The sequence below is a fragment of the Homo sapiens genome, chromosome X, assembly GCF_000001405.40.
Source record: "Homo sapiens chromosome X, GRCh38.p14 Primary Assembly".
NCBI classification, from domain to species: Eukaryota; Metazoa; Chordata; class Mammalia; order Primates; family Hominidae; genus Homo; species Homo sapiens.
In genome coordinates, this window is record NC_000023.11 from 10,067,754 (window position 1) to 10,093,710 (window position 25,957).

General features: G+C 44.2%; 1 protein-coding gene across 1 annotated transcript in view, besides 1 other annotated feature; it reads left to right on the top strand.

Annotated features, from left to right (window-relative positions):
* WWC3 (WWC family member 3) overlaps positions 1 to 25,957 on the top strand; it is a 129,221-nt gene that overhangs the window by 52,500 nt on the left and 50,764 nt on the right. The window contains 3 exon segments of the mRNA NM_015691.5: positions 11,046 to 11,122; positions 11,972 to 12,051; positions 23,018 to 23,147. Of these exon segments, the coding sequence (NP_056506.3) occupies positions 11,046 to 11,122; positions 11,972 to 12,051; positions 23,018 to 23,147 (287 nt within the window).
* Positions 15,133 to 15,633: an enhancer, noted in NCBI's record as "H3K4me1 hESC enhancer chrX:10050926-10051426 (GRCh37/hg19 assembly coordinates)". NCBI's record gives its function as "activates a minimal SCP1, AML or CMV promoter by ChIP-STARR-seq in primed H9 embryonic stem cells {active_cell/tissue: H9 hESC(primed)}" and the evidence as "EXISTENCE:reporter gene assay evidence [ECO:0000049][PMID:30033119]".

Genomic DNA, 25,957 nt, shown 5'->3' on the forward strand with positions numbered 1-25,957 from the left:
CTTGAGCTCACATTCAGGTGGGGAAGGTAAAAAATAAACAAGAAAACAAAATTTCAGGTAGGGATGTGTACCAGCTGCCTGTCTCATGCATGTCAGTTTTGAAGAGGGCTTCCCTCAGAAATCTCTGCAGTTAACACTGCTTGTCTGGGATGATCTCTTGGGAAATCCACACAGTGGCTTCATTCATTCTGAGTGGGAAGACTCAGGAGACCTCAGCCATGTCAAGCCCCCTGTCTCTTTGTAGAGTTCTCCTCTTGGGCTGTAGGCTTTAGTACGCAGTACAGGGAAGGAGGAGGAACACCATAGAACCCAGAGAATCGGAGGACTCTCCTTCTGCCCCTCAGGTGAGATGACCATGTACAGCTTGCTGTTCTCTAAAGGGACCTCTCTCTAGTTTTGGAGGCTGCCAGAGTGGGGGGCTTCATTTCATTAGTACTCAGCAAGTGCTTGGTGTTGAAGAAACCAGGTCCACTCTCAGAACCCAAAGCATTTTGCTGTGGACACGGTCAGTCACCACATGAGCCAGTTCCTTCCCAGCAGACTTTCACCCTCAACAGACCCCAACAGATGTGCATGACTGTGACTGGCCTGGGCACTCGTGAGCTTGGAAAGAATGGATGAAAGTTGGTACCACTGGGTTGAATTTTATAAAAACCTGTCTGTTTGAGACTTGGGGCCTTTCCTGTGATATTAGTGCCATGTTGCCATGGCAGATATTAAACACACAGCTATAGCTTTATTCTGTGTTGCAAGTCAGAATGGAGGTAAGGCTAAGGGGCCACACGTTTTGTGCTCTGTTTTATTGCGGCAACTGTTGACGGGGCAGAAGCCTTAGAAGCTATGGCCAGGAGTGGGGTATTCCCTCTGCAATAGGAATTGAAGATATTTCTATTTCCGTGTGTCTTGAGGGAAACAGGGAACTCAGTTTTACTGATGTGTTGCTTCCAAGCCATCTTATCTCCATCTCTGCAGATAGTGGCACATACCTGGTTGGTTTTTTTGAGGGCTTTGTTTTGTTTTTAACTTCCCATCAGATTGTGATAGGTCAGCTATGTGTGGAGTTTTAGAGGCTGGTTTCTTATCTTCACAGTCATCTTTTCTTGGAATATCTTTCTCTGATTTTGGTATGAGGGTAATATACTGGCCTCATAGAATGAATTGGGAAATGTTCCTTCCTCTTCTGTTTTCTCAAAGAGTTTGTGTAGGATTGGTATTAGTGCTTTCTTAACTATTTCATAGAATTCACCAAAAGAGCCACCTGGACCTGGAGTTCTTTGTGGAATGTTTTTAACTACAAATCCAATACTTTTAATAGAGAGGTATCCAGATTTTTTGTTTCTTCTTGAATCAGTTTTGGCATTTGTGTGTTTCAGAGAATTGTCTTATTTCATCTAATCTAAAAGTCGGCAAACTTTTCTATGAAGAGTCAGATAGTAAACATTTTAGACTTTGTCGACCATATGATCTCAGTGCCAACGATTCTACCCTGTAGTTATATTGCAAAAGCATCCAGAAACAACATGTAGACAGATGTGCCTAGCTATGTTCCAGTAGAAGTATCAAAACAGGTAGCAACCTAGATTTGGCCCACAGGGAGTTTGCTGCCCAGTGATCTAAGCTGTCAAGTCTATGAAGTTGTTTGTAGAATTCCCTTATTAGCCTTTTAATGTCTGTAGGCTTTGAAGTGATGTCCTCTCTTTAATTGCTGATATTAATAATTTGTGTCTTCTTAATCAGTATAGCTAAACTTTTATTGATTTTTATCTATCTTTACAATACACTGGCTTTTGCCCTGTTCTCCCATTTCTTGTCTGTTTCTATCTTACTGGTTTTTCTTCTTTATTATTTCTTTCCTTCTACTTAGTTTGGCTTTAATTTGTTCTTCCTTTTCTAGCTTCCTAAAGTGGAAATTTAGATCACTGGTTTTAGATCTTTCTTACTTCCTCATATAGCCATTAAAGATAAGGATTCTCCTCTAAGTACTACTTTAACTGCATCTCATAAATTTTGATATGCTGTATTTTCTTTCAGTTCAAAATAATTTCTCCTTTTTTTTTGGTGGTTTTTGACCCATGGGTTGTTTAGAAGTAAGTCAGCAGGACTTTTTAAAGATGTCATGTTGTTGTTGATTTCTAACTTAGTTCCATTGTGGTCAGAGACTATGTAACATTTCAGTCTTTTGAAATCTATTGAGATTACTTTTATGGCCTAGAATACTGGTTTTTTTTTTTTTTGAGATGGAGTCTTGCTCTGTCGCCCAGGCTGGAGTGCAGTGGCACGATCTTGGCTCACTGGCTCACTGCAACCTCCACCTCCCGGGTTCAAGCGATTCTCCTGCCTAAGCCTCCTGAGGAGCTGGGACTACAGGTGTCCGCCACCATGCCCAGATAATTTTTGTATTTTTAGTAGACACGGGATTTTGCCATGTTGGCCAGGCTGGTGTGGAACTCCTGACCTCAGGTGATCCACCTGCCTCGGCCTCCCAAAGTGCTGGGATTATAGGTGTGAGCCACCGTGCCTGGCCAGTCTTTTTGATGACCAGAAGCCCATGGGCTTGGTGCCTTGATGTCTCCCTAGCTGAAGCATTGGCCTATAACCTGTTCTGAGATTATATAGTTAGCAATTCTAAACATTTCAGAAAGCTGCTTGGTAGAAGTTGGGTTGAATGGTATAAAATTGCTGTTTTTGTATCTAGAAAAGGGCTGAATATTGGCTATTCTTATAATCCAACCTAATAGTGTGTTTCTTTCCAGCAGTCTTTGGGTACCTTATCTTTTACATGCTTGCGTTTGGTTAGGTCTCCAAAGAGGCTCTCAAATCAGTCTTTCAAAGAATGAAATGGAAGAAATACATATCAGAAAAACTTGGCAGGATGTTTCTTGCCAGTGATTGAAAAGAAAAATTGAGACCAGGTACAGTGGCTTACACCTGTAATCCCAACACTTTGGGAGGCCGAGGCAGGAGGATCACTTGAGACCGGGAATTCAAAACCAGCCTGGGCAACCTAGCAGGACCCTGTCTCTATTAAAAAAGAAAGAAAGAAAAACTGAGTCTAGAGAAAGTGTGTATTATGTACTGGCTACCACCAGTGCAGCCAGGATGTCAGCTGCAGTGACTGTGGGGACCCTGGACTGGATGCCCTCAATGATGCAGACATTAGAACATCCTGTCTGATTCCACACCCACTCTGAGGGGCAGTGAACGGGGAACCCCAATGCAGTGCCAAGCTGTAGGTTAAGAGTATTCAGTACTTCAGCATCCTGAGTTGCTAAGGATCCTGCAGGATCAGGTTTTGTATTTCCATGGGCTTTTCACTTCTTTGATGTTTGGGCAAATAGGGAATTCTACTCAATTACATTTCTTTTTGTGCCCTATGGGATTTTATTAATGCTCGTTTAAAAAGATACACTCAAGAGGCTCTTTTTGAAGTGGTATCTGTTCCTTCAGTAGAGGAAGCTGATGACTCTGTTGTTGACTTGAGGTTCTAAGGTGCTCACCAGATTCCATTTCCTGACCTGCTGGATGTCTCTGTGTGGATACGATCTCTCCCTCCACTTGTGTAGGTTGCCTTCGAGGCCAAAAGTGGGCCTGCCTGTTTTCGTGAAAGGGCTGGAGATGCCAGTGGGTCTTCCTGGGGCCTGTCAGCTCATCAGGGAAAAAGCCAACTCTGAACGGAATCTAGGAGTTGATCCAAGTGTTTTATCAACTTGCTGCTGTCCCTAGGGCTCCCACCAAGCTCTCTCAATCTGCCATTTAACCCGAACTACCAGGTACAACAAGGAAAACCCTGCTAGAGTGGACTCAGATGAATTCTTTCTGGCCACAGGATAAAGTCCAATGCAGTGATTTTGTTGGCTTGACCATGATCTAACAGATGGCTTCTACAGCCATGCCAGAGGGCCTGGGCCCATGTTGGGAGCTGCTGGTGGCAGTTTCCATAGCACACGTTGGCTGTGTAGCCACACGGGTCTCACTGCCCAGATCTCCCTCAGTGCCAGTCATCTAAAGCAGGAGGCGTCTCCTTTTTCTGATACTGTGAACAGAATAACATCTGGACTTAATTCCCACTTCTTTCTTCATGGGTAATGACTTGAAGTGAAAGGAACCGATATCCAATGAGCTGGTGTTTTCTGTGCATTGTTGTGATCACAGTGTTGTCAAGCACGTGCTGTTTTCTTTATTGTTCACATGAGAAACTGAATATCAGGGAGGCTAAATTATTTCTTCAGGATTACATACCCAGCAGATGGTAGAAGTTGGATTTAAGCCCAGATCTGTTTGTGTTGGTGGCCTTCAGTGCTCTGTACGGTTTCCTAGACATGGAAGAGGCCACTCAGAACAGCTGATGGTGTTTGTGGAACCCCTCCCCCATCCAACTTTCAGGTTATCTGAAAATAAAGACTAGTTATAAATTGACAAGTTGTCGGGAAATTTTGCAGCAATAAAGGGGGCAAGTGGAAGGCAGAGCACTTTCTAGATCTTGACTTTTCCATGGCCCATGTAAGATCACTAAACTGTTCATTTATTTTTCGACAGTTAGCACCTGCTGTTGATATATACTAAATGGCGGGAACATGTTTTTTTTGTTGTTTGTTTGTTTTGTTTTGTTTTGTTTTTCGAGACGGAGTCTCGCTCTGTCCCCAAGCTGGAGTGCAGTGGCGCGATCTTGGCTCACTGCAGCCTCTGTGTCCCGGGTTAAAGCAATTCTCCTGCCTCAGCCTCCTGAGCAGCTGGGACTACTGGCGCATGCCACCATGCCCAGCTAATTTTTGTATTTTTAGTAACAGGGTTTCACCATGTTGGCCAGGATGGTCCCTATCTCTTGACCTCGTGATCTGCCTGCCTCAGCCTCCCAAAGTGCTGGGATTACAGGCGTGAGCCACTGCGCCCAGCCGGGAACACGTTTTATTCCTAATGGTTGCTTGTTGGGAAAGATGAGGCAATAATGTGTGAACAGAGGAATTAACTGGAACAGCCATTTCTAATGTGGGAGCAGAAGGTAGGGAGGAGAAGTGCATCTCACCTATACCCCTCACACATTTCCCTCGAGCTATGGAAATCACCAGAAGAAAACTTCATGCATTGGAGAGGAAAGATTTTGTGTCAGTATTGGGCCATCTGGTATCTAAGAACATCCGTGCCTTGACCTGAAAGCAAATTCAGATATTTGGCTGGATGCTTTGCACACTTGTCTGCATGAGAGTAGGAACCCAACCCTGCTTGATTTCAATGAGCTTCTGTGCTAGCTGCCTGGTGATGCCCAGGCCTCATTTATGCTTCGTAGAACACTGGGGTGAAACTGCTCAACAATGGACTCATTCTCTCTGAGACACACCTGCTACTTTTTCTACAGCTCCATTTTGTAGAGTTTTCTTCTACTTTCTTTATTGCAACATGTTCTTCTATTTGCCTGCCTTTTAACACTGAATACGTTCATTATCTCAGACACATTTTTTCCTGGAGTTATTCCTTTATTCTTCCTGAGAAACTCTAGCCCCAGGCACATTCAGATGAACTATATATGACCATTTGCAGGATCTTTTGGAAGAAATTCTTGCATGGGGTAGGATAATAGTCTAAACCTCAGGTCTGCAAACTATGTCAAGCCTGTGGGCTGGATCCTATCCACTGTGGGTGTTTGTAAATAAAGTTTTATTGGAACACAGCCATGTCCATTTAGTAACCTATTGTCTGTAGCAGCTACAGTGGCAGAATTGAGTATTTGAGACAGATTGTATGGCCCACAAAGTCAAAAATATTTAGGGTCTGGCCCATTAGAGAAAAAGTTTGCTAATTCCTGGTCTATACCCATAGTTCTCAGACCTGGCTGCAAGCTAGAATCTTTAAAAACTTGCTGCTTGGACCTCACCCCAAGAGATTTTGATAGAACTGGCCTTGGGTGGGACCAGGCTTTTTTTTTTAAGCTTCCCAGGTGATCCCCAGGGTTGAAATCCACTGGGCTAGACAGAGTGTGAATGGCCCTTGTAGCAGCAGGAATATGACTTTGTTTATTATCCTAGTTCCTAGGAGTTACTCAAAGTCTACATTGAAAGTCTTTCTGGGTGGCTAGGAAAGAGGCAGCGTTATCTCTGGTGAGAAAGTGCTGATCCACCCTGAGTTCTTGGATTAGGTGGTGGTGAAGCTTGACCTTATCAGCCATCAGCCTTGCCAGCATTCCTTCTGAGGCTCCAAGCCTGTCTCACAATGACTCTTCCATTGGTGCTCTGTTTTTTTTTTTTTGTTTTTTTGTTTTTTTGTTGTTGTTGTTGTTGAGACAGGATCTTGCTCTGTTGCCCAGGCTGGAGTGTGGTAGTGTGATCTTGGCTCACTGCAGCCTCAACCTCCCGGGCTCAGGCGATTCTCCTACCTCAGCCTCTTGAGTAGCTGAAACTCCAGATGTGCGCCACCATACCTAGCTAATTTTGGTACTTTTTGTAGAGATGGGGTTTTGCCATGTTGCCCAGGCTGGTCTCAGACTCCTGGACTCAAGAGATCTGCCCGCCTCTACCTCCCAAAGTGCTGGGATTACAGATATGAGCCACCGCACCCGGCCTCATTGGGGCTCTCGCTGTTGAAGGATTTCTCATTTGCTGTCTTTGGTTAGGAACAGGGCTACAGGCAATCCATTCCAATTCAACCTTTTGTTTTCCTTCACACACGCATGTTGGAGCAGGCAGGAGAAAAAAGGATCATGGAGCATTTTTCCCATGTATTAGTCAGCAAGCCAGATTTTGGAGGTTGCAGCAAAGCACATGTGTTTCCTGAGAAATAATCCCCTAGTCTGTCCTGGAGGGAGAATTCCTGGTTAGGATTTGGTGGCTTCTTGGGTTACTTCTGTAGATCACCCCCAGGTGGCCTTACTTGATTGTTTTTGGTCTTTTGCTTATATTGCCTTAAAAAAAACCCATCCTGCCCGCTTTGTTGGCCTTGCGTATTTCTCCATGTGCCTCTCTGGTAGATAGTACCTGTCAACCTGGAACCTGTCAGGGCTTGTCGGCCTTTTGCCCAGAGTCATTCTTGGCTCCCTTGAGCAACTCCTGACAGTGCTGATCCCTGGAGGCCTACACCTGGTCCTAAGGAGCAACCTGCTCCAGAGGATGTCTTTGAAGAAGGACTGCTGGTCTTTTAAAGCATGTCTTGTCTCTGGGGTGACCTTAGGTACCCATAGCTCAGAAGACGCCTGTACATAAGAGAGACAAAGACAAACAGACTCATGGACACACACATTTCCCCTTTCAGTAATCTGTCAAACTGAAATCCAGAGTTAAGTACTGGGGTTTGCAGCATTTTGAGTCCTAAATACACAGGTCAAGTTCACCTGTTGGGTGGTGGGCACTGGGGAGCTGGAGGACCGTTTCTTCTTCTGGGAAAGCTAGCCCAATTAAAGGATCTTTGGCAGCTGACCCACCGGAGCCCAGATTCTAGACATGAAGCCCTCTATGAATGATGGCATAATGTATTATAGATCAAGTCACTACAGACTCAGTCTTTTAATCTATAAAATGGGCAAGGACACATAAGTATCATTTCACCTTCACAAAGATTTTATGAGAATAGATTAAATAAATGTGAAAGGCACCCTGTAATAGCAAGGTATAATAATTTACATTGCTGTGGTCCAGCTAGGCTATAACCTTGTTATTATATTATCTGAGGCAATGTTGTATGCCTGAGCAGACTCCATATGCTATTTAATAGCTCTGCCCACTTAACTCTTCAAGAGAGAAGAAAGCTTCAGAGGTGAAAGTCTGGTCTTTAGCATAAACCTCGAGATTGGAGACATGTCTTAATAGAGGAAGATACTCCGTTTATAAATGTTGTGGAAGGCCGGGCACGGTGGCTCACTCCTGTAATCCCAGCACTTTGGGAGGCTGAGGCAGGTGGATCACTTGAGGTCTGGAGTTCCAGACCAGTCTGGCCAACGTGGCAAAACCCCATCTCTACTAAAAATACAAAAAATTAGCCGGGTGTGGTGGCGGCGCCTGTAATCCCAGCTACTTGGGAGGCTGAGGCAGGAGGATCGCTTGAACCCAGGAGGTGGAGTTTGCAGTGAGCTGAGATCACACCACTGTGCTCTGGTTTGGGTGACAGAGTGAGACCCTGTCTCCAAAAGAAAAGAAGTGTTGTGTAGTACACGCTATTATGAGGTCTGGAGTCCTGATCTGTTCTTGGACTCTGTAAATGGTTCTAGTAGTCTTATTGGCAGATCTGAGGAACTGAGAATTTTATTTATAAATTTAATTACATTATTAAAAGTTATGCCAGTGTTCACAACCATCCTTAGTATTTGAAGATAAAATGTATTCACTGTGTTAGTTACTTGAGTAGACTTTTCCCTTATCCCAGTCCTGGAATTTTATAATTTTATAGAGACCATAGCAAAAGTAACATGAATGGGATCCACATAATTAAAAGGTATTCTGTCACTTATGATGGTTTCAGCTGCAGCAGAGAAGAATAATTCTCATGGGCCTAGACAATAAGAAAATTCATTGTCACATAGCGGAGTCCTCTGGAGGTGGGGTGGGATTCCCCATAGGTGGATTCAGTGACTCAGTGGAGTCATTGGTTTGTCAGTTTCCCCCTCTAGGAGTGGATACATGCTGAGTCTCTTGGGGAGAGGTAGCTACCCAACACTTCCGGGGTTCTGGTACTTAGGAAGGAGAAATGGGGGAAGGTTGCCGTGTAGATGTCCAACAGTATCCAAGACACCTCCCCTGCGTATTTCAAGTCTCTTTGCTAATTTTCCTTATGAAACTGCATAGACAGAGGAAGATTGGTACAGATTTTTTTTTTTTTTTTTTTGAGACAGAGTCTTGCTCTGTCGCCAGGCTGGAGTGCAGTGGCGTGATCTCGGCTCACTGCAACCTCCGCCTCCTGGGTTCAAGCAATCCTCCTGCCTCAGCCTCCTTGAGTAGCTGGGATTACAGGCACCTGCCACCACACCCAGCTAATTTTTGTAATTTTAGTAGAGATGGGGTTTCACCATTTTGGCCAGGATGGTCTCGATCTCTTGACCTCGTAATCCGCCTGGCTCGGCCTCCCAAAGTGCTGGAATTAGAGGCGTGAGCCACGGCGCCTGACCGGTACTAATGTTTAGCATTGCAGTGAACTTTGTTGAACTTTGGTGGTAGGCTTACTTTCTACCCTTAATGGGAAAGATCCCAGGTGATAACTCTTGGGCTTGTGTTCCTCCCACTGCAAGTTGACAAGTTGACACATGTGTTGTAGTGTTGTAAGCCAGGATTCAGCAAGCCCTAACCTCATAGCCTCATTTGCATATTATCTCTATCCCAAGTGAAAGAAGGCCTTTAAGCTCAGATCTGGGAAACTTAAAGTCCCAGGAGTTTAATATGGAGATGTTTTCTATAAGTTATTTCTGCCTTTTAAGGACATTGTTGGAGATGTTGCTTTCATTACTGATTTTAAATGAAACCAAAGAGTCAGGCAAGATGGAAGATGTAGGATTTGGAAATAGGCAGTCTTGTCTAAGAAAGAATTGTTTGTAAAATATTTTACTCCATGTCTTTGAGAGATCATGAGTCTAAGTATAAGAAAATTGGAGATAAAGTTGGCAAACATTTAGCTCTTCCAGTTGTTTATTTCCAGTAGATTCTGTTGTTTGAAATTCTGACTGAATGGGACTTAAATAGTAGATTTTCCATAGAACTGTTATTAAAATAGGAGATCCAACTGCTCAAGTGAACTTTGGATGTGGTTCTAATTGAGGTTTGAAGTAATTGTGCTGTTGAAGCTACTCAATGGTGTTGAGCCATCCTCTGCAGTACATAGTCCACAAATGATTTTGAATTGGTTTCTCATTGTTGGCACCTGAGTTATCTGAATGACAGCCAGCCTTTGATTCTCAGATCAAAGGCGTTAAAGAAAGGACTCCGTCCCTGCAGATGTGTCTTCTGAGCAGGTGATGTTAATGACAATAGCTGGGAGGCAGAGGGCACCAGAGTGGGGTGGTTCACAGATGAAGACAGACCAGCATTCCACTAGCTAAGCAGAAGAAGGGAAGCCATGCAGCAGTGGTATAGAGCCCATGCCTTCAGAAACCTAAAGAAAGGAGGCAGAAGCATCAAGAAAAAGCACCGCAGAGCGGTGGATGGGGTGGTAGAAATTAGGAATAGCCACTCGCTGCTCCAGCTTCCGTAACACTGGAAAAAGCTTGCAGCTCTCTGTGTGCACAGAAATTTGCTGACTGTGCCTAGCGTGTAAACAGCTCTGTGGCTCTTACTCATCCCTAGGTATTGGTTACTCACGATAATGATGCCATGTCTGTAAAAAGACTTTAAATCATATACACTGCACTGTTTAGGAAAGCATTGAGGTATGTGATGTCTTTTAGCTAAACATTCATCAAAACAAATTATTAGAGTAAAAGCACGAGTGCCTCACTTCAGTTTCTGGGACAAACAACTTGGGGGCCCATCTTTTTTCTCAAGCCTGCCAGATCCTGACGTATTACTAGAAATCTTTTTTATTTTACAAATTTCTAATGTTTTTTTCCTTTCTTGTGTCAAAAATTGTTCATCCGGAGAATATAAGTGTGAAGAAAATAAAAATAAAATCATTTTTAATGCAGCCATTGAGAATAACTGCAGTTAACTTTTTGGTTCTATCTTTCCAGTGACGTCTGTGTGTGTGTGTTTTAAAAGAAAGTAAAAGTAGGTTCATACTGCAAGTACTATTCACGTATTAAGTACAGTTTCCTATGTCATAATCACACCTCTTCCCCCTCACCCCGTACCCCCGCTGTGTCTATATGGTGTTTAACTGTAGTAGTTTTATAGTAGAACTAAACAGAGTTTTGATTGACCTACAGCCATGTATTTTATTATATGGGATCCTATAGAAAGTCCTGATGCAAATATCAAACATCAGGAAGATTTGAGGATGTTAAATGTCAATTCTTTAGGAGCCAGTGACCACTTGTAAATCAGAGATTTAGAGTCCTTTAATGCAGTAAATCAGAAGTTCCTTGTGTGTATGTATTTTGAAGGATCCATTATAAAATAAAATATTTTCTTTCTATTTAGCATTCTCTGGATATTCAACAAATACAAAGTATGACCCACACCAAATTAAAGCAGAAATAGCAAGTCGTCGGGATAGGGTGAGTAAAACCGCTGTTTTTACAACCAGGTGGACGGAAGCCTGGGGCCTTATAGCCTAGGCCGCTGGTGTTCTACTCTGGTTGACTCCTCCTGGAGGGATCGCTAGCAGTGTTAGACTGGAAGAGTTCTGAGGGTTCTGATGCTCTTCCCTGGTGACCCCTGAATTATCTATGTGCTACCATGTTTCGTCTCTTCAGACCCTTGTCTTGGTTGTCTGGGAAGGGAAACACTTTTGTTGCATTTGGGACAAAGCACAAGAAACATCTTGGCAATGAAGCCTGCTCCTCTCTTGGTGTGTCATTCCCTGAATCAGGGTGTATCTTTTAGTGCAGTGGTTCTCAAATTTTAGCACAGCTAAGAAAAATACCTGGGAGCTTGTTCCAAGTGCGAGCTTCCAGGCCTAGCCCCTGAGTTTTGACGTGGGCCTGGAGCGGGTCCCAGAATCTGTTTAAAGAAGCACTCCAGGAGCCATTGAGTTTCAGGTAGTCAGAGAGCTCGCTTCTGGACACAAAGTTTCATGTGCGGGGTCTGAGAGGAGTGGGTAGAAGGAAAGATGAAGAATGCGTTACAGAAGTTGCCAGCTGTAATGTGGAAACCTTGAAAATGCAAATAGTTGCTGGTTCCCCACTTGCGTAAGAGTCTGTCAACAATCTGGGATTTTTGTATCTAAGCACAGCAGGTCTTCTAGAAAGGCTGCTTCTTATGCATGTGAATGGAAGTTTGTAGTGAGAATAGATGATCTTATGAACTGCAAGCTGAGTAGAAACTCAGATGACAGTGCTAATAACAACTGTAGAAATCATTCTTCACAGCTGGTTTTTGGGAAAAAAAATGTGATTTGTCTTTAGCTTTCCAGATTAAAACGAGAGCTGACCCAGATGAAGCAGGAACTGCAGTACAAAGAAAAGGGGGTGGAGACCCTGCAAGAGTGAGTTGCCTGGACACTTGTCCCAAAGCTTCATGCCCTTCACTTTCATGCCTTTATTTATGCTCATGATTTTCCAATGCTAACTTCAGAATCTCTCTTTTCCTTGAAGATATTTCGTTGCTTTAAATGGAAATACTTGGGAAACAAGACCTTTATTTTTATGTTTATGCACGTTTACTATAGCTGTGCAAGACACTCATGGCTAGTTACATTTAAATTTGACTTTTTCTTAGTTTTAGTCTTTTAAATTTTTTGTTCTAAAATTGACATTTAAAGTAAAAGAAAATTAAAAGTTTAGTTTCCCAGTCTCAGTAGTCACATCAGAAGTACTCAGTAGTGACATGTGGCTAGTGCAGGTTTTCTCCACCACTTAGCACTAGTGGGATTTGGGGCTGGATCATTCTTGTCTTGGGGGGACTATCCTATGCACTGTAGAATTGTCTTGTCTTGGCCAGGCCTGGTGGCTCACGCCTGTAATCCCAACACTTTGGGAGGCCAAGGCGGGCAGATCACCTGAGGTCAGGAGTTCAAGACCAGCCTGGCCAACATGGTGAAACCCCATCTCTACTAAAAAGACAAACATTAGCCAGGCGTGGTGGTGCATGCCTGTAATCCCAGCTACTCGGGAGGCTGAGGCACAAGAATCGCTTGGCGGGCACCTGTCATCCCAGCTATTCGGGAGGCTGAGGCAGGGAGAATCGCTTGAACCTGGGAGGCCGAAGTTGCAGTGAGCCGAGATTGCGCCATTGCACTCCAGCTTGGGCGACAGAGCGAGACTGTCTCTCAAAAACAAACAAACAAACAAAAACACAAAGAATGTTGTCTTTACTCTTTACCCGCTAGATGCCAGTAGCACCTTCCACCTGTATTGTGACAACCAATAATGTTTCTAGACATTGCCAAGTGTCCCCTAAAGTACACATTTGCTCCCAGTGGAGAACCACCGTGCTGGTGGCTACTGTATTGAACACCATAGGTGACAGATTTCCATCATCACGGAAAGCTCCTTTGGACATTCCAGTCTGTAGGTCTTCCTCCTGTTCTCATTTTTACAATAAGAACGTTATCCCTACTAAGAGATTGGGGATGAATTGTTTACAATTAGTGAGCTGTATCGAGTCTGCAGGTTTCATGAACTAAAGGTGGTGTTTGAGAAATGGTGCTGGTGTGGGTCTGAAGGTTTGCTGAGCCGTTCTCTCCATTCACTGGCTTTCCTTGCTGAACTTGCGCATGTGCCGCACGCCTTCTGCACCTACTTTTCTCATCTGCAAATGGTGATTGTTTTAGGCAGCTCGGGCTGCTATGACAAATACCATAGACTGGGTGACTTGAATAGCAGATATTTGTTTCTCACAGTTCTGGAGGCTGGAGGTCCAATATTTGGTTCCTGGTGAGGGCCCGATTCCTGATATGCAGATGACCATCTTGTCGCAGTTTCCTCTCATGGCTAAGAGAGCAAAAACTCTGTTCTCTCTTCCTTTTCCTAATCCCATCATGGGGTCCCACCCTGTGACCTCATCTAACCCTAATCACCTCCCAAAGGCCCCACCTTCAAATGCCATCACATTAGAGGGTAAGGCTGCAACATAAGAATTTGGAGGACACACAAACACACAGTCCATAACAGCAATCACTGTGCTCAGTTATACTGAGGACAGCACCAGCACCTGGTACATGCCCAGCCCGAAACAATTAGTCCAACTCTGTGTGGTTACTGTTACTGACGCAGGTGGGCACCATGTTGCCGTCTTTCATCCTGCATGCAGATGCATGAGGTGACACACGTGACTGCAGCACTGCTCTTTATGGGGAGGTAATAAAGGAATGTGAGGTACAGATGTAATTATCTACCATTACCCAGCTATGTGTTTGTGTGCATTTTGGATCTACAGTCAGAGCTTCCTTTTATTAACCCTAGTTAGTATTAGCACAGCTTCTTCTTTAGCTTTTTTTTTTTTTTTTTTTAAGACAGAGTCTTGCTCTCGTCGCCCAGGCTGGAGTGCAGTGGTGTGATCTTGGCTCACTGCAACCTCCCCCTCCCAGGTTCAAGTGATTCTCGTGCCTCAGTCTCCCCAGTAACTGGGATTACAGGTGCCCGCCACCACGCCTGGCTAATTTTTGTATTTTAGTAGAGATGGGGTTTTGCCACATTTGCCAGGCTGGTTTCCAACTCCTGACCTCAGGCGATCTGCCCGCCTCGGCCTCCCAGAGTGCTGGGATTACAGGCATGAGCCACCGTTCCCGGCCTCTTCTTTAGTTTTGTCTTAAGCAAATCAAGCTTCTTTTCCAACTAACCGGCTGCTGGTTTTGTCATTCATGCGGTGCATAGGCCAGAGTGCTTTCCAAATGCACCGACGTGTGTTTTGTCCTTTTAGCCCCCCACTCCAGCCAGCCTCCAGATACTCCAACACCTCCTCAGATGCGACTGTGTGTGCTGTGGCAGTGTCATCCTGTGTCACTTTGGCTAAGGTGGTGGATAAAGAATAAGCAGAAACAAATCATTTGATTTGTGACAGGTCACCAAAAGTTATTAGGACTACCTAGTTGGATTTGAGGTGAATTTTCTACCTTCATTAGGCCACACTGTAGCTGTCTCTCATTGTGATACAGTGTCTCTGGACAATATGTAGTTGTTTGTTTTTTTTTGGTTTTTTTTTGAGATGGGGAGTCTTTGTCACCCAGGCTGGAGTGCAGTGGTGCAATCTTGGCTCGCTGTAACCTCCATTTCCTGGGTTCAAGCAGTTCTCCTGTCTTAGCCTCCCAAGTAGCTGGGATTACAGGCACACGCCACCATGCCCAGCTAATTTTTATATTTTTAGTAGAGACCGGGTTTCACCATGTTGGTCAGGCTGGTCTCGAACTCCTGACCTCAGGTGATCCGCCTGCCTCAGCCTCCCAAAGTGCTGGGATTACAGGCATGAGCCACCACGCCCGGCCCAGTAGGTGGTTTTAATGTTAGTCATTGTGTGTGCCGGAGGTTGCAGTTAATGTCATTCTCATTTGCAGCTCTGAGGAAGGTGACTGGGGTTCAGGAAGAGTCTGAGTTTGCTCAGGATCCCTGAGCATCAGCAGGGAGCCACGTCTGGCACTTCCCTCATGGCCATGGTTTCTGTAGTGGGTTGCTGGGCTCAGCGCCCGTTGCTTTGCCTTGGCTCCATCGTTCTGGTGAACTCCATTTCCTTATTTGAAGACAAAGGCCATATAGCAGTGTCAGCTGTAGATGGACTGATTTAGAAACTGAAACGTACTGCTGACTGAGAAAACCCCCTTCTCCTTAGCATGGCTAGGATGTGAATTCATCTTTTGTAGTTGCAGTGGTTTCAAGAATAGGAAAAGGCAGCCTCTGTTTCCCTAGGGGCATTAGACAGAGAAGCAGGAGCCAGAATAACGAGAATTTTAACTTAACACCTGCGGCCAAAACGGAGCGCAAGTTGTGCTCCTGGAAGAGAGGCGGGCCAGTGCTGTTTGGATTGTCTTTCTGCTTTCATTATCAAGATCCCACGCTTGGGAACAGCAATTGTAAACTTGCCACTTGCCAAGGGGAGGCTCCTCCTGTCTGCCTGAGCTCATGAGAATACCCGCCCTCCCCCTGGAGGCCAAGGAGTGGCCTGGGGAAGGCTCTGGACCTGGCCTTGGTCCTGAGGGGCCCACCCCACCTCATGCCTGACCAGGGGCAAGTTAGCTTTCAGGAGGGAGCTGCCCAGAGCTGTTGTTTAATGGGCACGTTGCCTTGGCTCTGTCTGACGCTGCGTTGTTACTGTGCATGTTTACTTTATTCTGGGACAGACACAGCCTCACAGGAAGAAGAGAAAACCCAGGCACCCGTGCCACTCTTAAAATATTTTTGTAAGTGGAAGATAATCTGGTAGCCTTTCTCTGAGTTCCACAGCTTATGAGATGAAAACAGCCTCATTATTTTTCTGGTATTGAACATTGGGTGTTTAGGTTTGGATTGAATCATGCAAATGTATATTTTTTTAATTGAGAAATTTTAGAAGGCCTTTTCAAGCATTGAAAATGTGATTACCCCATCTCTACTGGGAAATCCTGACTATACGTACAGATAGCAGGTGAGCTGTTATACCTAAACATGAAGCATCTCTGATTTTATCACCAACATTGCTTAAGGCAGTGGCCTGAGATTTTCCTCCAGAAAATTTCCTGCTGTTCTTGCTTCCCAGAATATCCAGTGTATTCTTTTCCAGAGCACCTCACTAGGAGTTTGGCTGCTTATAACATTTTAAGCTTGCCTTGTTTATCTTGGTGAATTTCCTGGCTAGCAAGGAAATTCATCATTACACTTGGGTCCAAGTAAGGAAAAAAGAACCTTTTGTATTTTACTTTAAATCTATATATGTTGTTGATTGTTGTAGAGAGGAATTGGCCACAGATATGTTCGCTGGGTTAATGATAGAATATGTACACAGATGTGTGTTTTATGTGTATCTATGTGAAGTGTACACATGTAAGCTTTTAATGATGGAAAATATCAAACACAAAAGCAGAGAGAATAGTATACTGAAACCTTCCTGTACCCCTCACCCCATTTAACCTGCACAATTGCCAATCTTGTTTCGGTGGTGACCCCACCCCATCTGCTAAGCTCTCACGGCCTTATTGAAGCAAATGCCAGAATCCCATTTAATCCATAAATATGTCTCCTAAAGTTATGGACTCCTTTTGAAAATAACTCTAATCCCTGTACCCCATTTACTAGGCATCTTGTGTCCAGTGAGCTCTTGCATTTCTTCAGGTGTTTGGGTCCAGTTTGGGCCACAGAGTGCCTTTGGTTGATGTGTCTCTTACGTCTTTTCTTTTCTACTCTCCCTCCTTTTTTTCCCCTGACAGCTTATTTGTTGGAGAAAGTAATTTGGTTGTCCTATAGAATTTCCCTAATGTTGGGTTTTGCTGCTGAAATTCACATGATGTCATTGAACGTGTTCCTCTGTCTCTTGTTATTTATGCAAATGGGCGTAATAGTTTGAGAGGCTTGATCTGATTCAAGTTGGATTTCTTTTCTTTTTTTAGTAAGAATGTTTTTAGGTGGTGGTGTTACTTCCATCAGGAGGCACCACTCTGTGCTTGTTTCTTTTTGCGGTGTGAAGATGATCAGTAGGTTCTGGCCTTGTTAGCCCAATGCTTTGATTTATATTAATAACATTTCTTGTCAGCTTTTTACCTAAGTTATGGATGTGTATCTTCCAGGATAAGTTCCTGAAAGCGGGCTTGGTAGGTTAAAGGGTGAATGTATTTGTTGTATTATAGGTTGTATTTCTTATCTGAAATGCTTAGGACCAGAAGTGTTTTGAATTTCAGTTTTTTTTTTTTTTTTTTTTTTTTTTTTTTTTTTTTTGGTTTGGAATATTTGCATTATACTTACTGGTTCAATATCCCTCATCCAAAAATCTGAAACCTGAAATGCTTCACTGGTCATTTTCTTTGGGTGTCATGTCAATGCTTAAAAAGTTTCAGATTTTGAAGCACTTTGGATTTCAGATTTTCAGATTAGGGATACTCAGCTTGTATTAGATATGGCCAAATTCCTTTGCTGAGGGGTTGCACCATTTTGCCTTCCTACCACTAACATATGAGTGTTCTCGTTTCCTGTGACTTTGCCAACAGGATGTGTTGATAAGCATTTGCATTTTTGCCAGTCTCATAGGTGAGAGATAGTATCTCAGTGTAGTTTCAATTTGCATTTTTCTTGAGGCCTTTTATAAAAGTCTTCAGAAAATAGGAGCACCATTTACAATGACTAATTAAAGTTTAGAGAAAAATTGAGCTTTTCCAGTGAAAGGTCCCCTGGACTCTGTTGCCCTAAAGTTTCTGAAACGTTTTGGAAAAATTACCTTACTGTAACTTACTACTAGTGTCCAGAGGCAAAGGGAAGACTCAGGACCAGGACACGTGCAATGTTTCCCAACTGGGTGATGTGCGTGAACGGACCAAGTGCACCAACAGATGTGGGCAAATTCCCCTCTCCAGCTCCTGCCTGGAGCTCTAGAATGTACCTTGTGTTAGATTTTTTTTTTTTTTTTTTTTTTTTGAGATGGAGTCTCACTCTGTGGCCCAGGCTGGAGTGCAGTGGCACGATCTTGGCTCACTGCAACCTCTGCCTCCCGGGTTCAAGCGATTCTCATGCCTCAGCCTCCTGAGTAGCTAGGACTACAGGTGCACACCACCATGCCCAGCTAATTTTTATATTTTTTTAGTAGAGACGGGGTTTCACCATGTTGCCCAGGCTGGTCTCGAACTTCTGGACTCAAGCCATCTGCCCGTCTCGGCCTCCCACAGTGCTGAGATTACAGGCGTGAGCCACTGCACCCGGCCCCTTATGTTAGATTCTGAGTGGTCCTGCAGCTGGGAAGCTCATTTAACATTGCCCTTCCCTGAGTTTCCTGCTCGTGTTATTAGAGCCTTTTCCTGCCATGATACCTATAATGTCCCTGAGCACTGGCTTGATGGCAGAAGATGCTTTTGGGTAACACTGCCTGGCCACCTTGTCCATGGTGTGCTGTTTCTACACCCGGCCTCTGATCCTTCTCACAGCTTCCACCACCACGGCTCTGGGCCAAGCACTAATGTGAGTCTCCATCCTCACACAGTAGCCATGGGGTTCTTCCACAGCTAGTGCTCTCCTTGTGGTCCTTCTGTGGCTCTCTCTCACCTACAACACAAGCCAGACTCTACATAGGCTGGCCCCCGGCCCTGCCTCATTTACCTCTAGTTTCACCTTTGAAAGGGATGTCCTGCCTTTACCGTGGGTACTTGGAGCTCCCTCTGCTTGGAATGCTCTTTCCCCCAGATTCTCACATGCCTGCTCCCCCACTTCCGTGGGCCTTTGCTTAGTGACATCTCGAGAGATCCTGGCTTAACCATCCATCTAAAAATGTACTCTGTCACACTCTATCCCCAAACTGCTTCATTTTTTTTTGAAAACATTTGTGACTGCCTGACCTAAGGATGTACTTTTCATTGTCTGTCTCCTTGGCTCGAATCGTGCTGCACGAAGACAAGGACTTGGCTTTGTTCGCCGCTTCATCCTGAGGACCCAGCCAGTTCTCAGCACAGGGTGGGGCTTGGGAGTGAATGCAGATTGCCCGGGTGCTGGGGGGAGTGGCTGAGGTTGCTGTTCCTGCCCGCTAGTAGCCATCACAGGGTCCACTTCTTTCTCGGACACTGGGACACTCTGAGTGAGGGCAGATGTTTCCTTGGCCAAAACTTTTGTCCCTGGGCTGGAGGAACTCAGGGAGGCCTCTAGACATTGTCCAGTCACCTTCTTGCCAACTGTCCTCTAGCACAGCATTCTCTTCTGCATTTTGTGTGATATTGTTTTGGCCTGGGTTTTAAGAAGTCCTATTATCACTGCTATTCAAATCACAGAAAGGGATGCTCACCAGATGTTCCACTAACTAGTTTCCATGAGGTACATTCTTAGCCACTAGGTGAGCCTCTGCTTCAAGACTTTTGATTTCTTGATTAACTTCCCAAATGGGGTGAAACCCATTTGTCTCCTTAAATATGAGCCACTACATCCTTCTAAGCATGCAATACCAGAATGAAGCATTACTGCATATTAGAATTAGCATTTTCTGTCTGAAGGGATTTAGTAGTTTCAAGAAAGAGTGGGATTGTTCAGTAGAACAGGCTTAAAGTAACAATCTCCCATTAGCGTAGCACCTAAGGAACAGCCCACGCGAAAACCTCGGCAATGCTCAGATAACAACAGCGAAACGTACAGAAATGGGCTGGAAACAAAAAGAGGATTGTTCCTGGTTGTGGGACAGGTCTGGTGTTCCACACAGGTCTTGCTGTTGATAGAAAGCCGCCGGAAGCTTTCTGAGGTTCACCCAAGGCCGTCTGCCAGAGCTGCTGATAGAAAATGTAGAAGTTGTAACAAACCTTTCCATTCTTCTGGGTTGTAATCTGTGGTATTAACACAGAATATCTTTAGAGGGCTGGCAGCTCTTTCCTTCAAGATGTGGGGTTAAGAAGTTATGTGGTTTTACTCTTATTTTTCCTAGTGCAGTTCTCTTGACATCTTAAATTGAACAACCAATATGGAAATTTTAGGGTGGCAGGAGGTAGAGGTTGACAATAAACATCTCTAAAATGCCTTTTCCATTGTACTAGGTTCCTCATCTGAAGCTGTATCTTCTTCTTTTCTCTCCAGCCCATTTCTTTCAAAAGCACACCATAAAGAGCACCAGTTTACTTTGGGATGACATTTGACTGGTTATATGGGTGGCCTTCAGGTTTGACACAATGGGCATTTAGAGGCCTTGACTTTGAATATATTGCGAACCTGGTGATGGAGCAGACAAGTCCTGGTGTGGGGGGCCTTGGCTGTGAACTTCACTTTGCCTGTTACTGGCTGTGTGACCCTCAGCAAATCACTTAACGTCCCTGAAGCTGAATGCAAAATGTAGAGGGTGCAAAAGTAAAGACTGTGAGTCTGTGCACTGAATTTTGATTTCATACTGCATAATAACTCATGTCCTTGTTTAGTCTCCTTGAGCAGTTACCTTTTCTATCATTTTATTTGTGATGTATGGTAAAGGCACTGTCTTGCACTCTTAATTAAAATTAAGACCAGAATAAGGCAGTTCTTTGGCAGTCACAGATCTTATGATTTTTTAAACGAACTGGAATACATCAATATTTTTAAAAAATACCAAATCATTGAGCACATCATCTACATTGGACCAAAGTTTTTTAGGGAAGTTTTAGAGAGAGAGAGTGTGCTCTCAAATAAATGAATTTTACAGAAGTAAAAGAAGACATTTACTGTCCTTTGAAGTTTTTGTTGGATGAAAATGGATCACAATTGAAAAAATGGAGGTGTTGTGAAGCTATGACAGCTAAGAAAGTATAAGGTAGCCCTTCCATGAATATCCCAGTGAGTTACGAGCAGTGAGTGAGAAGGCCAGCCATTTTGATGGAAGTGGGGCTGGTTTTGAGGGACAAACAAAAGAGTTTTGAAAATGTACAATGGGTTTATATGCCTACTGTCACCATTCTTGCTATTGGCTCCCACGTTTTAGTAGCCACCAACTGGCCTGCTGGTACTGTGCTGGGAACTTTTTCTATTTTATTGCCAAATCTCCCGAGGACCCTCAGGTGATGTAGACTGTTAAAGTTTACCACCTTGATCATTTGGATGAACTGTTTTGTGAAAGAAGGGATTTAATGAGAGCAGAATAAAAAGAAAAAATATGCCCACAGCTCAAACTTTAGTTCATGCTCACTTATTTTAACTTTTGGCATGGAATACTCTATAGTTAAAGATACGTGTACCTTTTAATAAAGATGTATAAATAAAGACTTCTGCTTTGTAGGAACAGACAAGGCAATGTGTATTTGAGAAACCTACAAGTCTGTAACAGCCATTATGGAAGTGCCTGCAGGGTCAGGACACGTTGGCATTTAGGAGTGTCATTATTCACCATGCACGGTGTGCCTCTATCTGCTCTCCTCGGGGCAGAACTCAGGACTAGTGTTTATAAATATTTTATTTGTAGCTGATGGCAATCACAGCAATGCTGCCGAGCCCCAGAGCCCTATTCAAAGGGAGTCAATGGCTTCCTGCTTGTGTTGTTTGCCCTCTTCCTAGGCCATGGATGCTGATAGCTCAGGTTGACTCTGGTGCCGAGTTTTGCTTGAGTTGTGACATATTTGGCAAGGAATTTGTTAATGATAATAAAACACCAGAGTTGGCAAGTTATTTACTTTTTCTCCCATGAGTAAGGAGATTCTGTGTTATCCTGATAATAACAGTCACCGCAAACACCATATGCCAGGCCTCCTGCCAAGCAAGCTCTTACCTTGCATTTTCTCATTAAATCTCATGCCCATCCCATGGGAGAAATATTTTTAGTGTCCCCATTTGAGACAGGAAGAAGCAGGTGGAAAGAGGGGAAGTGACTCACCCAGGTCCCACAGCCAGTGAGTGGCAGAGCTGGGTGCCACTCGCACCCACCAGCATGCCAGAGGTTCCTGTGAGCGGTAAGCAAGGGAGTTGGGGCTGGCAGTTAATGATCCAGGTTTTCAGGATAACATGGAGGGAAATGTTAGAACCAGAACCTGTGAACTGGGAGACTCGGAACCTGAAAGAAGCCAGTTGCTTTCCAGAGAAGGAATTCATTCCACTCTGGACCAAAATTTCTCAAGTTCCTTAGCCTTAGGGCTTCCCATGCTGGAGCCTCAGGTGTAGGGGATGTGACAAAGGACATGCTCCAGAGGCCACCTCCCTTTGAAGGCAGAACCAAGTCTTGTTTTGTTCTGTGCTCTGCGTCCAGCCCCAGACCCAGGCCTGGTGTGTACAGGAGCTGGCTGGGAGGATGGAAGCTTGGAGGAAAGGTGGGAGGAAGGGGAGGAAGGAGGGAGGGAGGGACATTGCCATTTTCCCTGGATGAGTGTTTGGATTGAAGGAAAGAATTGAGGACTTGGTAGGAGAAAGAGTGAGTAATAAATTAGAACCAGAATGAAATCAGAGTTATAGGAGACAGAAAAGGTTTCCAGCTTTTGTACAAAGCACCATTATCGAAAGCTCACTACTTCTTGCTGTGTCCCATATATTCTCCCTGTACACAGATCTCATTCATATGTTTATTTAACAAAGATTTTGACCACTAACCTGGAGATAAACAAAACATGTCCTCTTTTCAGAGAGAGGAATTTACAGTCTCGGGAAATTACTCAAGCAAGCAATCTTGTTGCGCAATCATTAGCGGAGGACGTGGGCATCCTGTCTCGGACGTCTTCACCTGCCCAGGGTGCTCCTGAGCAAAGGGTGTTGTATCGACCAGAAGGAGGGACGCTTCCGTGGGGTCTTTCTTTTTCTTAGCCAAAACATTACTTTAACTGTTTCCACCTCTCTATGAAGCTTTTGGGTTTTCGTAGTTGTATGTTTAATGGAATGCTAGGATCTCATGTGAAATGACATTGATTTTTCTGTTTTAACTAGGATTGATCGGAAGATGTCAAGTACTCACACCAGCTACAAACTGGATGAGGCGCAGGCTATCATGAGTGAGCTCCGGACCATCAAGAAGGCCATTTGCACAGGCGAGAAGGAGAGGCGGGACCTGATGCATGTAAGCTGCCTGCCTGCTCATGTGTTTTATTTTAAGATGTTTTTAATATACTTATGTATTACATGTTATATAGTTATTGTATATATAACATATATGTGTATATAATACACACACACACACACATGCATACATACATACGCACCCCCCACTGTATTTAAGTACGTATATAGTCATCCCTCTGTATCCTTGGGGGATTGGTTCCAAGACACACCCCCATCCCTCAGGATACCAAAATCATTGGATGGTCAAGTCCCTTATATAAAATGGTGTAGTATTTGCATATAACCTGCACAGTCCTCCTGTATACTTTTCTTTTTTTTTTTGGAGACAGGATCTCTGTCACCTAGGCTTGAGTACAATAGCACAAAAATGGCTCACTGTAGCCTTGACCTCCCAGGCTCAAGCCATCCTCTCACCTCAGCTTCTAGAGTAGCTGGGACCACAGGTGCGCACCATCATGCCTGGCTAATTTTTATATTTTTAGTAGAGACAGGGTCTCACCGTGTTGGCCATGCTGGTCTCAAACTCCTGGCCTCGAGCGATCCTCCCGTCTCGGCCTCCCAAAGTGCTGGGATTACAGGCATGAGCCACTCTGATTGCTGCCTCCATGGTCACATGACTGTCTCTTTGTCTGAATTTCCTGTTCCTGTAAGGACACCAGCCATTGGATAACGACCCACCCTAATCCAGTATGACCTCATCTTAACTAGATTACATCTGTAAAGACTATTTCCAAATAAGGTCACACTCACAGGTTCCTGGGGTTAGGACTTGAACATATCTCCTGGGGGAACATAATTCAACCCACAGCAATGGGTGATACATTTATATTGTTCAATAATCAAGATAATTCCAAAGGTCTATGATAAGAAGTCTCGCTATCGCCCCATCCTCCTACTGCCCCTGACTGCCTTTATTACCTTTTTGCCTACCCTTCCAGCATTCATGTGGGCACACAAAAAGAGAATACATGTTTAGCCGCCCTCACGCAAAGCCAGGACTGTGATACTGTTCCGCACTAGCTTCCTCACTTAACAGCAATATCCCCTACCTTTCCCCATATCTGTACACAAAGAGCTGCTTCTTTCCTTGAGATGGTTGCATAGTATTTTACTATGTGGGTGTATTTGTATTATATATAGCTGGGATCATTGTAGCTTTATACTGCTTTATGTTTTTTTCCCCTTGAGCTTTTGTAGTTTCTGTTATTTTTAGAAAAAGTTGAACTTTTGCAAATGCAAAAAGCTGCCTCCATGGTGGGAAACTCAAGCAAGACATCTGAGTGGCTGGCCCTAGTGCTGCACATGGTGGCCTCAGAGAGGCCAAGGCAGGGGAGCGCTGCTTGACCTCATGACGTAAAGTGCTGGAATGCATTCAGTGCTTTTGGTTACAGCTTTTATTTTTCATCTGCTACCCTAAGTGAGCACCTACTGCCTGCTGGCATGTGTCTAGATTCTGTAGAGTATAAGACCCACAGGACAGAACAAGCAAAGCTCAAACTCATAGGCAAAATGAGACAGATGCACAAAAAAACTACCCTGCCTGGGTAGTGCCTTCTAAGGTCAAGGCCATGAGGGACTTGCGGAGAGTCCTCATGGTGCTTGTTAAGATGCAGATTACCAGGCCCCACCCTAGACTCACTGAATTAGAATCTCTGGAGGTAGGGCCTAGGAATCTATTTTCAGATGACCTCTCCAGGTTGTGATAAGTAAATGGTTAATTGTTAGATTTTTTTTTTTTTTGGCACACAGGTAGCACTGAGAACAGCTACCATTTATTGAGGTCTCTGCTCAGCTGACATCAAACAAGATGCCCCATGTTTGTTACCCATCGTCAATACCGCAGGCTGAACCATGTGGTGTTCCATGGTGGAGACACAGAGGCTTTACGCCATGAGGCCAAGCAGGGCTGCCTGCCCCGGCCTCTCTGAGGCCACCGTGTGCAGCACCAGGGCCAGCCACTCATTTGCCTTGCTTGAATTCCCACCGTGGAGGCAACAGATAGAATTTCTGGAAGAAGCTTCAGGCTCGAGCACCTTCTTTGACGTCTCCATAGCCTCTCAAACTCTGAGAAGCTCCAGGAAGAGGCACAGGCAGAGTCCTCTTCTATCCAGGTTAAATAAGTTGTTTTGCCTTTCTTATGTGAACTTAACAATATTGGCCCCTCCCAAGAAGGCCTTATCTCAATCTCAAGCCAGTTTTGTGAGTTCTACTGCACTTGGGCATTTTTGGTTCTGGTGTCTGTAGTAAAATTTGCTGAAAGTGAATATATTCAGAAGTCTAAAAGAAATGGTCAAAAATCTGATTTCTGGCTGGGTGCAGTGGCTCATGCTTATAATCTCAGCACTTTGGGGGGCTGAGGCAGGAGGATAGCTTGAGCCCAGAACTTTGAGAAAAGCCCAGGCAACATAGTGAGACCTGGTCTCTACAAAAACAAACAAACAAACAAAAGTTTAGCTGGGTGTGGTGGCATACCTGTAGTCCCAAGTACTCAGGAAGCTGAGGTCGGAGGATCACCTGAGCCAAGGAGGTCGAGGCTACGGTGAGCTATGATTGTGCCACTGCACTCCAGCCTGAGTGATAGAGTGAGACCCTCTCTCAAAAAAAAAAAAAAAAAAAAAAAAAATCAGAATTCTGATTTCTGCTTAAAACTGCCACACAGAGAGATTTCATGTGCCAGAATGCATACTAACTCTAATTTTTGGCAAACCAACATACATATGAGATTACTTTTGACCATGTAGAATTATGACTGAGAAATGAGGTTTATAAAAATACGTAAGCTAAAACAGCAACTCAAAGAACTGAAAA